Below are 15451 nucleotides of genomic sequence, written 5' to 3'. Positions count from 1 at the left end.
TATATATTATATATAATATATATTATATATTATATATTTATATATTATATATAAATTATATATTTATATATTATATATTTATATATATATATCCTCCAAACCATCAATCCACAGTAATAAAAGGACTTGGTTTGTCTCACTGTGGCCAGGGAGAAGTAAAGTTAATAGAGACAAGACATTTCAAGGTTCCAAGACTCTTCCCTTAAAGGTGGGGATGAGTTAGGGGTCCCCAGGGGGAGCTACCCAGTCTGCCAATGTGGTGGGAGGAAAGCCAGGGGGGCAGTCAGGAGACTGGGTCCCAGCTGGAGAAGGTGCTCCTCTGACAGTTTTATATATATATTAAGTAGAAAGATCTCTAGTACGCATTGTTGAATGGGAAACAAGCAGAATACTATATGTGGTATTATGTGGTATTCCATGATGTTTAATGTTCTACTATTCATGTTTCTAAGGGAAAAACTACTATAAATTTGCTATGGATACCTATGTATGTAAATGTATAGGAAGAAAAGGATTTGGAGAAGGGACTAGAGTTAGAAAAAGTAATCAGAAAGGATTTTACTCTTCTCCGATTTTAGATAGAGAGATAGATAGATAGATGATAAATGATAAATAGAAATGGATATATCATAGATATACAGAGAGATACATACATGGACATAGAATGTATTCATATACTTGTAGCTTTTAAAATATAGATAAAACAGGCCAAGATGGTACAAATTGTTATTCCCCTTGTATAAATAAGAAAACTAAAGCTCAAAGGTAGCCCATATGTGCCTAGGCACACACAGCCAACAAGCCCCAGAGGAAGGAGTGGAGCTCAGATCTGCCCTCCCCATTGCCTTTCCACCACTCCACCCTGCCTCTCAAGGCCACCCAGGAGTAGACTATGACAAAAGGTAGAAGAAGGGGCCTCCTTGTCCATACTGGCTGGAATGGTAAAAGCCAAGTGCGATGGAGAATCGTGTTGTTGTTTTTGTTTTTAATTAATGAACCTGTTGGAATGTGCCATTCAGCAGTGGAGCTGAATGGTTCCTGCTGTTCATGCAAAACAAACAAAAATCCCTCCACCCAAGCTACTTCTGTGGCCACTTTTCTAGCCTTATCTATCCAGGGACTGTGAAAGGGACACAGAACTGTCAGAGGGGCACCTTCTCCAGCTGGGACCCAGTCTCCTGACTCCCCCTGGCTTTCCTCCTACCACACTGGCAGACCGGGTACCTCCCACTGGGGAGCCCTAACTGATCCCACCTTTAAGGGAAGAGTCTTGAAGCCCTGAAATGTCTTGTCTCTATTAACCTTACTTCTCCTTGGGCCACAGTGAGACAAACCAAGTCCTTTTATTACTGTGGCTTGATGGTTTCAAGGGTCTTTTCCAGATCTAATAGCCAAAGAACATTAGAATTTTCCTCTATGATACACTAGAATAATAATAAGCTCTCCCTCCCTAAAGATGATGTTTAATTAAAACCTCTGGCCATTTTGGCTATCTTCATATTTTTAAAGAAAACCCAGATGTAGAAGAAAAGCATTCTTCAAATGTTAACCATCCATTCCATCTCCTGGTCACCTTAGAATGTCATGTGTCAATGAAAGTTGAAAGGTTTTTGAAGCATGGTATAACTGATAATACGTTTTAGCTTTATCATTTAGCAACTGGGTGGCCTTGGACAAGCACAGTCTCTTCAGCCTCAGTGTTTTCCATCTGAAAAATGGGTGCAATACCTACTCTTAAGGTTGCTGTGGGGGGTCGGGGGAGGGGGTGAAAGAGATGGCATTTGGGAAGTGCGTGCAACCAGGAGGGGCCTAAGACATGTCTCTTCCCTCCTCCAGCTGGATAGCAGCTCTCCTCCTTCCATGGTTCCAAGACATCCACAGCCTGGGTCCCCCAGACTTGCCCTACCAAGTGCTGGCGCCTCTCCAAAGTCTGATTCTTTCTATTTTCCTTAAGTTGCAAAGCCCAGTGTTGAGGTGTAATTGTGTGTAAGAGGGAGAGGGGATGGATCTGGTTTCTTTGAAAATGGCTTCTTTGCTAAAACGACAACCTCAGATCTGATACTGAAAGAATCTGCTGGCACTGGCCCCTGTCAGAACAATTTGGAGCTATCCAGGGGCCATCCTCTGGGGCTGGCAGCCGGCCCCCCAGCTGAGCCTCATGCTCAAATTCCCAACAGGCTCAGAGGCAGGCCCCGAACACACTTCATCCTACAGCCCCATTCCTCCCATGCAAAGGCGGCAAGAGAGAAGGAGAGAAGGGCTTGGCATTCTGAAGCAAAATTCTCTTTCTCTGCTGCAACCCCCCTCAGCCCTGCCAGCCACCTTTGCAGAAGCCACACACGCGCACACACACACACACGCACACACGCACATTTTCAGAAAGCCCTTGGCACAGCCCACCCCTTCCTGAGCTGGACAGAGCTGCCAGGGCAGATTTGCCCGGGCCGAGGCCGCCTTCTTCATCTCCAGCCCCCTCCCATTCCTCTTCTAGAGTCAAGGTTTTGTCAGGAGTTTCAGGGGCAATGACTGGCCAGGGAGGGGGACCACAGACATCCTGCCTGCTGCCAAGTCCCTTTCTTTCCCCCACAGTGTGTCTTATAAGCCGGCATGTAGTTTATTCTTCTCCTAAACACTTCCATAGGGTGCAGGGCCTGGAGTTGCCATAGAAACACCTTTTAACTCCTCCTCCCCCAGAATGCCATGCCAGGCCCTAGGACTTTGGGGAAAAAAGACAAAAAGAGACACCTGTGGATGAGCAGAGACAGGAGGAAAGGCCATCGGGCAGCCCCCCGGAGAGGACCAGGCCAGGCCTCCTGTGCCTTTTGCTAGGCCAACATGGCACCAAGCCATGAAGAGAAAACCACCATGATGGTTTTAAAACAGGAAGTTGATGGGCTGATGTGAACACCTTTAGGGGGCTACAAAGTTGACTGGTGGGGTTGTGTGGGTCCCAAGGAATGGGGAGCTCCTTCATATTTGTTTGAGGGCGAGAATAGACAGTTTCAACCCAGACTGGAAACCAGAAAGGCTCTGAGCAATGAAACTTGGGAGCCAAGTACTGGACGCCAGCAGGGTGCTGTGCAAGGCGAGGGAGGTCGGCAGGCAAGCAGCTCACACCCACACCTCCCATTTTAAAAGCATTAGCTCATCCCTGCCACTAGTGCAGCTCACCAAACCCAGGCAGAACAATTTGGGATCCGTGCCAGAGCATCGAAGATTTTTTGTTTCTTTTTTTCTTTTTGATTCCACAATCTCCTGGTCTTTGGCTACTTCCTGGTAACTTAGATTTTCTCTGAGAAATTTATGAAGAGGAGCGAGGGAGCTATTTCTTGTTTCAATCCAGAGAAATTGTAAGAAACTTTCTGCATTGCTCAGACCCACCGCAGGAAACCTAAGCAGTAAGCAGACGGGAAGGCCCCCATTGGAAGCAGGATCTACTCATGCTTGTTTTCACTTTTCCGTGGTCAATTTTTAGGGTAGAAACCCCAAAGCAAAGGGCAAGGGGGAAGAATGGGGACCTACTCCCACTACATACCAAAAAAACGCAAGTGAAGTCACCCAGCCCATTTTCCAGCAGAAAAGGACTTGGGCTGCACCCCTGCACACCCTGATTCCACCTGCCAGCCTCCTGGCCGCACGTGTGTGATCCTGCTGGGCAAAACCAGAACTCAGCTGCAGCAGCAACTCCCCACACTAATCAGGTGGGAATGTTACCAACTGGGATGAGGAGGGAAAGGGTAAGTGGAATGTGGGTGGAGGTGGAGGAGGGAGGAAAACCCTCCCCAGTCTTCAGGCTGCCCAAAAGGATCTTTCTAAGCAATCCACAAATCCTGGGCCAGCTGGGTTCCCCCAGGAGAGGGGAGGATGTACCATGCAGGCCCCAGGGAGCCTCTTACAAGGGTGACCTCAGGTCACACAAACACCCTCAGCTGCCAACTGCACTGACATTCTGGTCACCACACCCCCACTCTGACCTCTAGGCTCAGCCCAGCCCACCAGCAGTGCCCCTCCCGGCCCTCACTGCCTCCCCTGCCAAGCTCCTACCTCCTCCCCCTCCTCACCACAACACGCTGGTAGAGTCCCTCACCCAAGACTCAGTGGAAAATTTCCTTCTCCTTTATGACTGTACTTAAAACACACACGCTCCATTCTTCACCTCTGAATCGACACAGGCAGAGGGCGGCAAGGCTGTCCCACCCCACCGCCCAGCCCAGCCCAGTGCACACACACACACTCTCCCAGCAGAGCCACTGGACTTGCACGCTTTATGGGCTGGAAAGGAGGAGAGAGATGTTTCCCAGATGCCACTCCACCTTTAGCCATCCAAACACAAGTGTCCCAAACACTCCCAGACAAGCCTCCCAGGATGCTCTCGGGGCCCTCCATACACACTAAGGAGTAGGAGGTCTCTTTACAGGGTCTCTCTACTCAAGACACTAAGTCCAGTCTGGAACTGTCACCGTGATGTGACCCTTGGCAGGTTTGTTCTTTTGGTGACAAATCTGTTTTCCACTACCCATTCTCCCCCTCCCCACACACATTCAAGGGGGAAAAAAATAGCCTTCCTGTGAATTTTCACAGCTATGTGGTGAGTGACCCCTCGCACCTTCTGCTGGCTATCAACACTCTCAAACACAGTGCCTCCAGGGCGTGGGTCAATGCCACAGCTTTCTCCTCATTTTCCCCCTTAAATCCACCCAAACTTGGCAGTCCCAGAAGCTCGGTTAGCGCTTGCCTGGGAAGCCTGCAGCTGGGTTGGGTCTCAGTGAAAAGAATGAATTTCATAGGCGCAGGAGATGATGCAGACTCGGAGTACTCCAAGTTTCTCCTGCAACTTTCCGTGCACATGGCGGGCAACTTTTTTTTTTTTTTTTAACTATTCAATTTCCCAGCACTTTAGTTAGCATTCCAAGTTTTGGGAACCCTTTCCCCACCCTTCTCTTCTAGCCCTTCCTCCGTTAGTAGTGAATGGGGACATTTTCCAGATGTCAAAAGGACCGGTAGGAACCTCACGACCTAAGTTAGGAAAGCAAAGGCGGCCAGGGGCTCCCTCAGCCACTGTGAGTTTCCTCTGCAGGGCATCTTCCCCTCTCAGCTATGCCAGCGCCCCCGCCCAAGGACATCGAGTTTCTCCACTCCGCCCCAACCCCGTCTGCCCCTCTCCTGGGGCAGAGGAAAGGAGTGGGGCTCGCCCTGCCTCCCTAAGCAGCGCTGCAGTCCTGGCTGCAGCGTGGGGCTCGGGCGGGGCACCAGGAGCGCTTACCGATGTCGGAGTTGCAGAAGGCGTCCTGGGGGTGGCTGGGCGAGCATGTGCACGCCTCGGCGCCCCAGTCCCCCAGGCTCCAGCTGCCCAGGAGCACGATGAGCCCGAGCCAAGGGGTCATTGCCGCTGCTGCCGCCGCTGCCGGGGCTGCTGCTCGCCTCTCCAAAGTTGCCGTGCGCGCCGCCGGCGGGGCTGCTGCAGCCCGAGCTCGCTCGCCCGCCGGGCCGTGCGGGGCAACCTTGGCCTCCGGCGCGCTGCCCTCCGAGTGCCCGGCGGGACGGGATGGGGCGCAGCGAGGCTGCCTCGGCGCTGGCGCAGGACTCGGCGGGCGGCCTCCCGGCGAAGGAGCAGGAGCTGGAGGAGCAAGAGGAGGAGGAGAAGCCGTCTGAGCGCCCGCCGCCTGCCTGCTGCCCGCTCTGCGCCGCTGCCTGGGCGGCCGAGTGATATAGCGCTGGGCCCCCGGGGACCCCGCCTCGGGCTGTTGGGGCCCGCCCCCTCAGACCAATGGCAGAGCCGCATTACCTCATCGGCCCTCCAAAAAGGGGGCGGGGCCGGGGGCAAGGGGTAACGGGGCGGGGCCGCCCCCGGATCGTTCAGATCCTTATAGGGAATAATGCCGCCGTGGGCACGCGAGTGGGTGGGCTGGGGCGCGCCCGGGACCGGTGCTTGCCGCTGGGTCCTCGGAGCGGAGCCCTCGTGCCCCTTCTCGTCTGCGCCCTGGCCCCACGCCCACCTGGGCCACTGGGTGTCTCTGACCCAAACCAGAACCAACTAACACCCACCCACCCCAGCAGGACCGCTTCCACAGGTGAGGGGTGGCCATGTCCTAGAGACCTTGACTGTGCTTGGTGGAACCAGCGGGGGAATGCTAACTGCTACCCCTCCAGTTTCTCTGGAGAGAGCAGGCACAGAGGAGAAAGACCCAAACTCTCTCTCTTTCTCTCTCTCTCTGGTTCTTACTCTCTGGGATATGGGAAGCCATCTGCTGTTTGCAGCTGGCTATGATATATGATAGAAGACTGTTTTCTGTGCTCTCCCAGAGCAAACGGGGTTCTGTATTCATTCAACAAACACGGTTCAGGATGCTGGGTTAAGCAACACAAAGCCCTTGCCCCCGTGGACATCCATGAATGCACAGGGTGATTTTCTGTGATGCTAGGGCTATGAAGAAAACAAAACAGAGTTCTGGGTTGGACATGACTGGGGAGGGCCTGCTCTCTCTGCGATAGTAAGGGAAGGGCTCCCTGAAGTGCCATCCTCGCTGAGAAGTGGACAAAGACAAGGATCAGCTCTGGGGCAAGCCACAGGAGAGAGGTACCAGGCAGGGGGAACAGCAAGTGCAAAGACCCTGGGCATGTTTGAAAGACAGAAAGTAGAAAGGCAAGAGGAAGTGGTTCCCTGCCCATGGCTGACAGAGCTCCACCCTTCAGCAAGGGATTTGGGGGTGAGCTGATCCAAAACTGTAGTAAAACCAGGAGAACGATCCAGGATCCTAGACGACTAGCTATAATAGATGATTGCAGATAACTAACACAATTACTATCCTTATTATTGACATCTTGATTCTGCTTTGTATTTTTAAAAGCAGGATTCTGTATCTCACCGTATTATAGCTCTCACAATAATCTTTGTGGGTAGGAAAAGCAAGCACAAGTATCACTCCCACTTTCCAGATGAGGAACCGGCACAGAAAGATGGGATGATTGGTGGCCAGCCAGGAACTCGTCACCCCTTTCCACTGCTCCTTCCCATCTGAAGAGAGACATGCATTTCCCTGAACGTCAGCAGCTGTTCCATCTAACTGCAAATGGCCATTTGCAGCTGGGATCTTCCATCTTTCTACACTTTTGTCTCTTTCCCTTTCTCTTCCGCTTCATCCTGTTAGAAATGCCACAAGTTTGGAACAAATAGAAACAGGGAGAAATGCAAGTTCAGCTTCTTTCTCAGAACTCCTCTGTTTACATCTCAGACAAGTGACATTGGGACAGCAGAGGCCGAAGAATTCGTGAGAGATGGTATTTCCAAGAACATTTTTGAAACTCCTTTTTCCCCTTTGAGCACTTTAGCCATAGGAAAGGGAAACCAGTTTCCACATCTTTTTGACTTGTCCCCTCCACCCAGCTTTAAAAACCTTCCCTGCCTTCACTCTAACTGTGGCCTAACTCGTAGAGATGTTTCTGTCTCTCGATGTTTTTCTAGCACTGTTTTCATTGTTTTATGGGGTATGATTCTATTGCTTCCCCAACCACAGTAGGAATACTTTGAGGCCTGGGATATTTAGCCACACTGCTTTTTAGCCCTCTCAGAACCAAATAGGGTCTCAGGAGACTGGAGAGCATGGGTGTGGCCAACAGCTGACTGAGTCCTGAGCAGAGTGCCCTGGAGGCCACTCTAAGGATCCAGGTTGAATGAGGGCATACGTGGTGGAATTTGAGAGATTCGCTTATCCCCGCGCCCCACATGACTTATTCCACAGTCATGTGGAAGGTTTTAGAAGACTTTCCAGACCAAATCCACTTTGGATAAGCATCTTACATGATAGAGGCCCTCTCTTCCCTTTCTTTTCACATTTCAGTTTTGTCCAAAGTGCCGATATTTTCTCCAACGGAAGGCCTTGCCTGGAATATAAGTATCAAGTAGATAACTTCTGCTGAACTTCAAGCAGCAGTTTTCTCATAGAAAGCATCTGAAGCGTTTTTTTCCAGCAGCTACTTAATTATGAAAGCACAAGTATAATCTGATCTTTTTTCCAGCTGAAAAGTAACGAAATTACCTTTTGGTTAATTTCTTCTCACTCCCTATCCTAAGCTGGTCCACACAGTGTCTTGAAGTTCAGCGAATTCCAAGAGCTTTTCAGTTGGGATGTTCTCTCTTATTCCAAACCTGAGTCAGTTCCCCTCTGCCCACCGTGTGAAGGCAGTTTGGTTCTCACCCTAAGGAAAAGAAACAGCAAACTCCATGAATCCTTGCGTAGGGGAGTCCTCCTGCTAGGGTCACCCCCTTCAGCAGGCACCCATCAGTCTGGATGTCATGGTGTCCATGAGCCTAATAATATGTAAGAATTGGTTATTCAACATCACTTAATAAGCTAGGTGGGGTGAACCTGAGGCTAACAGTAAGAATGAAGATGCAGGCTGGGTGCGGTGGCTCACGCCTGTAATCCCAGCACTTTGAGAGGCCAAGGTGGGCGGATCACGAGGTCAGGAGATCGAGACCATCCTGGCTAACATGGTGAAACCCCGTCTGTACTAACAACACAAAAAATTAGCCAGGTGTGGTGGTGGGCGCCTGTAGTCCCAGTTACTTGGGAGGCTGAGGCAGGAGAATGGCGTGAACCTGGGAGGCGGAGCTTGCAGTGAGCTGAGATCATGCCACTGCACTCTAGCCTAGGTGATGGAGTGAGACTCCGTCTCCAAAAAAAAAAAAAAAAAAAAAAAGAATGAAGATGCAGGCTCTCCTGCTTTCTCTTGACAGCTAAGAACAATGATAGAGTTATACATCTGGGAAGAACTGAGTAAGTTTCAAGATCTATCTGGCCTGTCTACACACCTACTAGGATGACCTGGTATTCTCTTTCCTGGAACTTTTCTAGGAAAGGTGAGTTCATATCCACCCTCTTTGTATCAAGTTATAGGATGCTAGAGTCTGTAGGAAGAGAAGTCGTAAAAAGGACCTCAGAAACTACTCATCCTTGTTTTAAATGTGGGAAAAATAAGGTTCAGAGAAGTGAAGGAACTTGCCCATTTTCAGGGCTCAGTCCTCCAAGCTGTAAGGTGTGGCCCATGCTTGTACTGTGGGCTTGGAAACCCCAGCCATTCACAGATCTCGTATCTGCTTTTCAGATCTGTAGACAGATTCGTTTGAGTCTTTGTACAGTGCCCAGCCCACAGAGAAATTTTACTTACACTGATTAAATAATTCTCTACCATGATAATAATCACCCTCTGAGCCAATCAGAAGCAATACAGGTTTGTCCTCCTGACAGGTTTATCTCTTGTGTGTTTATTTTTTTCCCTTCCTAAATTACTAGCTAATGCATTCCAAACATATCACTATAAAAAAAAGCACATGAAAACTTTGTTTCTGGGAAATGAAAAGAGAGTAAAGTGGAAACAAAAAATCAAAAGACCTGAGATTTGTTCCCAATGTTGCAGAATAGCTGTGCACCTGCCTTGGTCAAGTCACTTTGCCTGTCCAGGCGTCCACTTCTGTGTTTATTGGATGAAAGATAGAACTCAGTGGTATCCAGGATCCCTCTCGCCTCAAAAACTCCAAGATTCCATGGGGAATCCTGTAGGACAAGTGAATGCTTCTGAAGGGGAGATGGGTCCTGCCATTTAAACAGGTTTGACACATGGGAACGTACCCAAGACTGAAGACCATCCATCAGTTTCGCAACGAACACTGAGTTCCTATATTGCTACCTCCCCCAAGAATCAATGCCGAAAACAGAATTTCAGAGAAGATTGTGATGCCAAAGTCCTAGGAGAGACAGGCTCTGGCTTATGGTGGAGCCCAGTGTAGTTATGCGTTCACCTGCTTGTTTGTCTCTTGGATCGTAGCACTAAAAAGTTAGGAAGGTGTCTTTTTTATCACCATTTTTTTGGTCTTCAGGAGTTACTGAACTCTTCCACATCCTTCAGACCTCAGCTTAGATGTCACCTCCTCCGGGAAACCTCCTCTGATTCCCCTCCCATGTATCCCCACAACACCCTGTATCAACTTCTTTGACAATACTTAGCTGACTCTAATGTGATTATTTACCCATCTGTTTCCCTTGCTGGAGTCTAAGCCCCTAGAACACAGGGATTAAGTGTTGGTAACAACGAGTTTAATAAGTATTGGTTGAATGGGTCCAATGATCAGCACCACCGACCCCTTTCCAGCATTCAGACAGGCAGGTGGTGGCTCCTTGGAGAGTTCACGGAGCTCTATCCCGCTGGCTGGTGCTAGGGGGCGCTATAAGCCAGAGAACACCCATTTGCTCAGCCTGCAGTCCTGGTCGGTCGTCTCACTGCGAGGGCGGGAGAGCACAATTCCACACTCATCGGTGGGGTGCGGGTGCCTTTGAGTGGGTGAAGCTCACCCCTCCCATCTGCCATGGCCACAAAGCTCTCAGTCAACATCCCGTCTGGGTTCGTGGCTGCCGGAGCTCCTCCACCCCTGAGCTGGCCACATGTCAACCAAAGGGGGAGATGCTCTCTGGGGAAGCAACATAGTTGTGAATCATTGGTTTGGGGGCCTTAGGGCGGTCTGGGAACACTGCAGAGGATGCCACAGTCCCAGTCTTCCAGGGCAGAGCTGGGTTTTGGAAATTCAACCTGGAGAAGGTACTGTCATTTCTGTTGCCTCATAGGGAAGCTCCTCTTTGCTTTCCTCCCTCTTCCCCTCCAGACCCTAGCCACGATGCCTTCCCCCAAGCCCCACCGTCCATGTGAAAGTCATTATATTCAAAATGGCCTTTTCCAAGCAACAGACAGCCTGGTCCACCCATCCCCATGAGCTCTGGCCAGACCCTCAGTGGGGCTGCTGCCCAGCACTGGGCAATTCTGAGCCTAAGATGCGAGGTACTGCAGGATCTCTCTGTGTCTGGCACCAGCAGGGGGTAAACACCTTTCCTTGCCTCCATCTGGAGCCAATTTCATGGCAGTAAAATTGCCCCAGCTCTCCCCCAGCTCTGCCAGCAAATTGAAGACCCCTCTGGCTACATTCGCCTCTGGCTACATTCGCATGAATCCTCAGGTTTTCATATTTCTTTCCACAGGGATCTACTCTCAGTGTTTTTAAGCCAGAAAACACATGTGTGCAGTAAAGCCATGTTGTATCCTGTGTTATCTAGGGTGGTGGGAAATGGAAAGCAGAGTCAAATATTCCAGCTCTTGTTTTCATGTGCATGTATGTGTGTGTATGTATGTTTCAATGACCATATATTCAAGCAGTCAATTATTTCTGTGAAGGGTACTATGAAATGGAAGGAGAAGAACTTCTCCCCAACCCTGTTTTAATGTCTTCCTTATGCCCGTGGAGTTCATGTGTTTTTCCTTTAAAAACGAGTAGCTCCTTTGTGGTTTCTTTGAAGGTTGCATGCTCAGCTTCACACAGAGAATACACACAAGCATCTCAGCCAGGTGCTGTCATGCCTTGGGAGGGAATGGGATGGACATGTGGTTGGTCTCCTGTTAGACTGGGCTGGAGGTCTTGTTTCTGCAAGGCACATGAGCTTTCTTCAGTGGAACCTGCTGGAACTGATATGGTCTTGTCCTGTGCTGTGGGGACAGTCCAAAGAGCAGTTAACACCATTGATCGCATCCTTCTTTAAACTTGGCTGCTGAGACCCTACTCTCTCTGGGATTCTGCTTTCTACCTCTCCATCTATACCTTCTCAGTCTTCTTGGCAGACTCCTCAGGTTCTTCCTGAAATTAAAATGTAGCTGTTTCCCAATTTTCTGTCCTTGGCTCTCTCCCCTTCCCTTTTAGCCTCCACACTCTCCCAGGCCTACCCCACGCACCCCCATGGTCGCTACCATGCTATGTGCACCGGAGTGCACACTGCAAGCAACAGTGTCCCTCTGATTGCCTGTCTTCTATCTCCAACTTCCTCCTGCCCAATTTCACCTAGAGATCCTATGGCCTCCTCGGACTCCAGGTGTCCAAAACTCATTGTCTTTTCCCCTCAGTCCCCTCCGGGGTTACCCATTCCGAAGGATGACATCATCACTCACCAGGTCCTATAGAGTCTCATGATCCACATCTCTTCTAACCATCCCTTCCTCTCATTCTTACCATTTCTACCTTGGATCAGGCCCCTGTGGATTCTTTCCTGACAATTTCAATAGTGACATAATTGGTTACACTCCCCAGAGTCTTTCTCTATCAACTTCAACTTTGCATTGCTGCTTCTGTACATTTTTTAAAATATAAATCTGAAAACATGCTATTCTTTGCTTGAAATGATTCACTTGTGCTCCGTGGCTTTCTGAACAAAGTCTTAAGCTCCAAAGACAAACAAGGCCCTCTGTGATCTGGCTCATCCCCAGGGCCCCACGGTCCACAGCTGGAGGAGGCCCTCTTCACATAGAATACAATGAGATGGCTGCCCCTGCAGTTATACAACAGCAGGCTCTGTTCTTGCTTATCTCTCTAAACCCATGCTGCCCTCTTCCAACCCTTTATATTCCAGCTATCGGTTTCTCTGAGCCTTGTTCACAATGCACTCTTGGCCTGGAATCTAGCCGCCACCAATATATTCCCCCACCCTCCTCCACCTCATCTGCCAGGAATCACGTATTCATCTTTCAGGATTCAGCTAGAGTCACCACTTAGTGAATATTTTCCGGTCCTCTCTCTGCCCCAGCAGAATGGACCACCCCCTCTCAGGCCTCTCCTCTTCTCTCACTCACCTCCCACCCACACTGGGTCCTCCGGGCTTCCAGCTTGGCACCTCGCACACTCTGTTGCCCCTAGTGGTTGATATCCCTGGTTCTCTTCTAGATATCGAGCAAATCCAGGTGCTTCTGTGACTGCCTAACACATCATATGCACATAGTAGACATTGAACAAATATTAAAGGAATAAACTAACCAATGAATGGAGTGGAGAAAAGGAGGAGTCAGAGTATCACCGTCACACATTCACCCCAACAGAGGTTCTGGAATCCAGCTCCTTGGGTCCAGAAACTCAACTAGATGAGGCTCCCTCAGTTGATCATTCTCACGGACTGATCCTAAGAGCTCAGCAAACCAACCAAAATCCCACTGGGCTTGTTTCCCGTGAGGTATTTCATTGTCACATAGGCTAGAGGACTCATGTCAACACCACCCCCATATTTTCCTCCTGATAGTCACAGAGAGCTTCAATATGAAGCTAGTTTCTCCTCAGAAGGTTGCTGTGGTGTGTGTAGATTCAGAATACAGGGATTGAGGGCATCATAGGAAGGGTCTTTCAGCTGAGATACCCTGGAATTCTCCTTTTCATGGAAGCAAAAGCTTTGCTGAGGAAATTCCAGTGCTCACAACCACTGGCCAAAGCCTCTCTTCCTGAACAGGGACAATGCTGGACACACAAATGCCAACTGCAGGCTCTTGGATCTTCTTGGTTCTCAGCACCAGGCTGGCCACTCCATCCTTCTCTTCCCCAACACTTTCTTTGCACTTGGAATATTGGAATTCATTTGGCTTCTACATTTTAGTATACAAGTCACCATTCAAAGATTACCCCCAGGTCAACTAGTTTGGGCTCTGGTATTCCCAGATTTTCAACTCTGCCCTTGCTGTGTCTTGATTTATTACCACAGATGGCTAAGCACAAGCATGGTGCATGAATGTATGGCTTCAGTAAGACAGATGACCTTGTTTCCAAGTTCTGGGTGTGTGCTTAATCATGAATTCTCCACTGACATTCTCCATTTGCCTCACATCTTATGTGTCATAGTGTGATGATCAAGTGTTTGGAGGATAGGGGCAGGGTCCTCTCCTTCCTTCCCTCCTTCCTTCAAATATTCACCAAACATTGGCAGAATGTCTGTTACTCCATGCTAGGCCCTGAAGATACAACAGTGAACAAGGCATAGAACTGTTCCCAAGGAGCTCCCAGTCTTCTGGGAGAAAAACACAAGAAAATAATAGTTGGTGGAAAGAACTACAGTGGGATAGTCAAGTGTGCCATGAGATCATAGAGCTACCTATCCAACCAGGCAGCAGGGAGTTGTTTAGGAACTCAGATTATGGTAAGACACAAGGTCAGAAGTAGGAGAGAGCTGTGGGTTACCAAGTTGAACTCCCTCATTTTACAGATACAGAAACAGGCCTAGAGAGGTAGACACCAGATTATTGGCAGAAGCAAACAAAGAATCAGACTCCTTAGTACCTCATCATCTTCCCGTCACTCCAGGCTGCTCTAATTCAGGCTGGGCCCATGAGAGATAATCAATAAATAATCATCTCCCTGCTCTGCAACTCGTCAACCTTGGAATGATAAGCTGAAAAATGTTTCTAAGATGAGTAAAAGAGAAGGGAACTTGGCATTAGTTGAATACCTACTATGTACAAGGCACTTTCAATGCAGTAGTCCCACTAATCCTCACAACCCTTAATAATAGGTACTAGGTACTATGGTATTATGCCCATTTTATGGTCAAGGAAACGGAGGCTCAAAGAAGTTAAATTGCATGTTCAATTTCTTACACTCAAGGAAGTGGCAGAGCTGTGATTCAGATGCAGGGGTCTCTTTCCAAACCAGCACTCTTCCTGAAGACTTCAAAGTCAATGTGCCCACACGTTCATTGGGGCATTTGCAGCACTGGTGATTTTCTCTTTGTCTCTTGGGTTCTCGTTGAGTGCTCAGAGCTCTTGATGCAGCCAAGCAGAGAAAAGCATAGTACCTACCTCTGACGACCAGGGAGAGAGCTTTATCTGCAGGCAAGTGAGATGCATCTCTGTTTCATTTGGTTTGCAATGGAGAGAAGGCAGGAGAAGTGACTTGGCAGGCAATTTCTAGGGGTGCGGGTGTGCCCTTCCTTACTCAAAATTTTGATAGATGCCATAGGAAATTTACATTCGTATTACGTAGATAGGGCCCAGAACCAGAGGCAAGCTGGTGGCATACTCATCAGTATATTTTAACAGCTAATGAACCTGGCTTCATTTCCTCCTGAAATTTCAAACATGAGATTGAGGCAATATACCAGGTTATTATCCTAGTCCTACCACATAAAATAGCTGTGTGACCTTGAGTAAATCAGTGACTCCTTTCTTTAAATGTAAAACCAAGTGGGTTGGATTTAACGATCTCTCAAAATTTCCCATGGAATATTCTAGAAGGCAGCCCAACAGGGAGGTTAGGAACCAACGAAGGCCTGTGATGTCATAAGTCTGAGTTTTATCCTTCTTTGCTTTTTCACTGTGACCTTGAACAAGTTCCTTAACCTCTCTCTGAGCCTCAGCTGTCTCGTGCTAAAAGGGAGGAGAGATGCATACCTCGTAGGATTTTCATGAAGATCAAACACTGTAAGCTGAATAAGATGCATGGCACAGTGCCTGGCACATAGTAAATTCTCACTGAGGACTGTGTATACCAGGGTGTGGCCCCAGGGGTATAAAGGTGAATGAGAACAGCCCCTGCCCTCAAGTAGCCTATAGTCTAGTGACCTGTGTTTATAAAGAAAGAGCATGTGCTTATATCCCCTTTGAC

General features: G+C 48.9%; 2 protein-coding genes across 19 annotated transcripts in view; one reads left to right on the top strand and one right to left on the bottom strand.

Annotated features, from left to right (window-relative positions):
• The window catches only part of TIMP3 (TIMP metallopeptidase inhibitor 3), a 61337-nt gene extending 55656 nt beyond the window's left edge, over positions 1 to 5681 (bottom strand). The window contains exon 1 of the mRNA NM_000362.5: positions 5264 to 5681. Within this exon, the coding sequence (NP_000353.1) occupies positions 5264 to 5384 (121 nt within the window). The 5' untranslated portion in view covers positions 5385 to 5681. The remainder of the gene's footprint in view (positions 1 to 5263) is intronic.
• The window catches only part of SYN3 (synapsin III), a 550562-nt gene that overhangs the window by 250996 nt on the left and 284115 nt on the right, over positions 1 to 15451 (top strand). The gene's annotated exons all lie outside the window — the stretch shown is intronic.

Source organism: Homo sapiens, chromosome 22 (assembly GCF_000001405.40).
Source record: "Homo sapiens chromosome 22, GRCh38.p14 Primary Assembly".
Classification (NCBI taxonomy): Eukaryota; Metazoa; Chordata; class Mammalia; order Primates; family Hominidae; genus Homo; species Homo sapiens.
The sequence above is the reverse complement of the archived record's forward strand: the minus strand, read 5'-3'. Positions and strand labels throughout refer to the sequence as shown.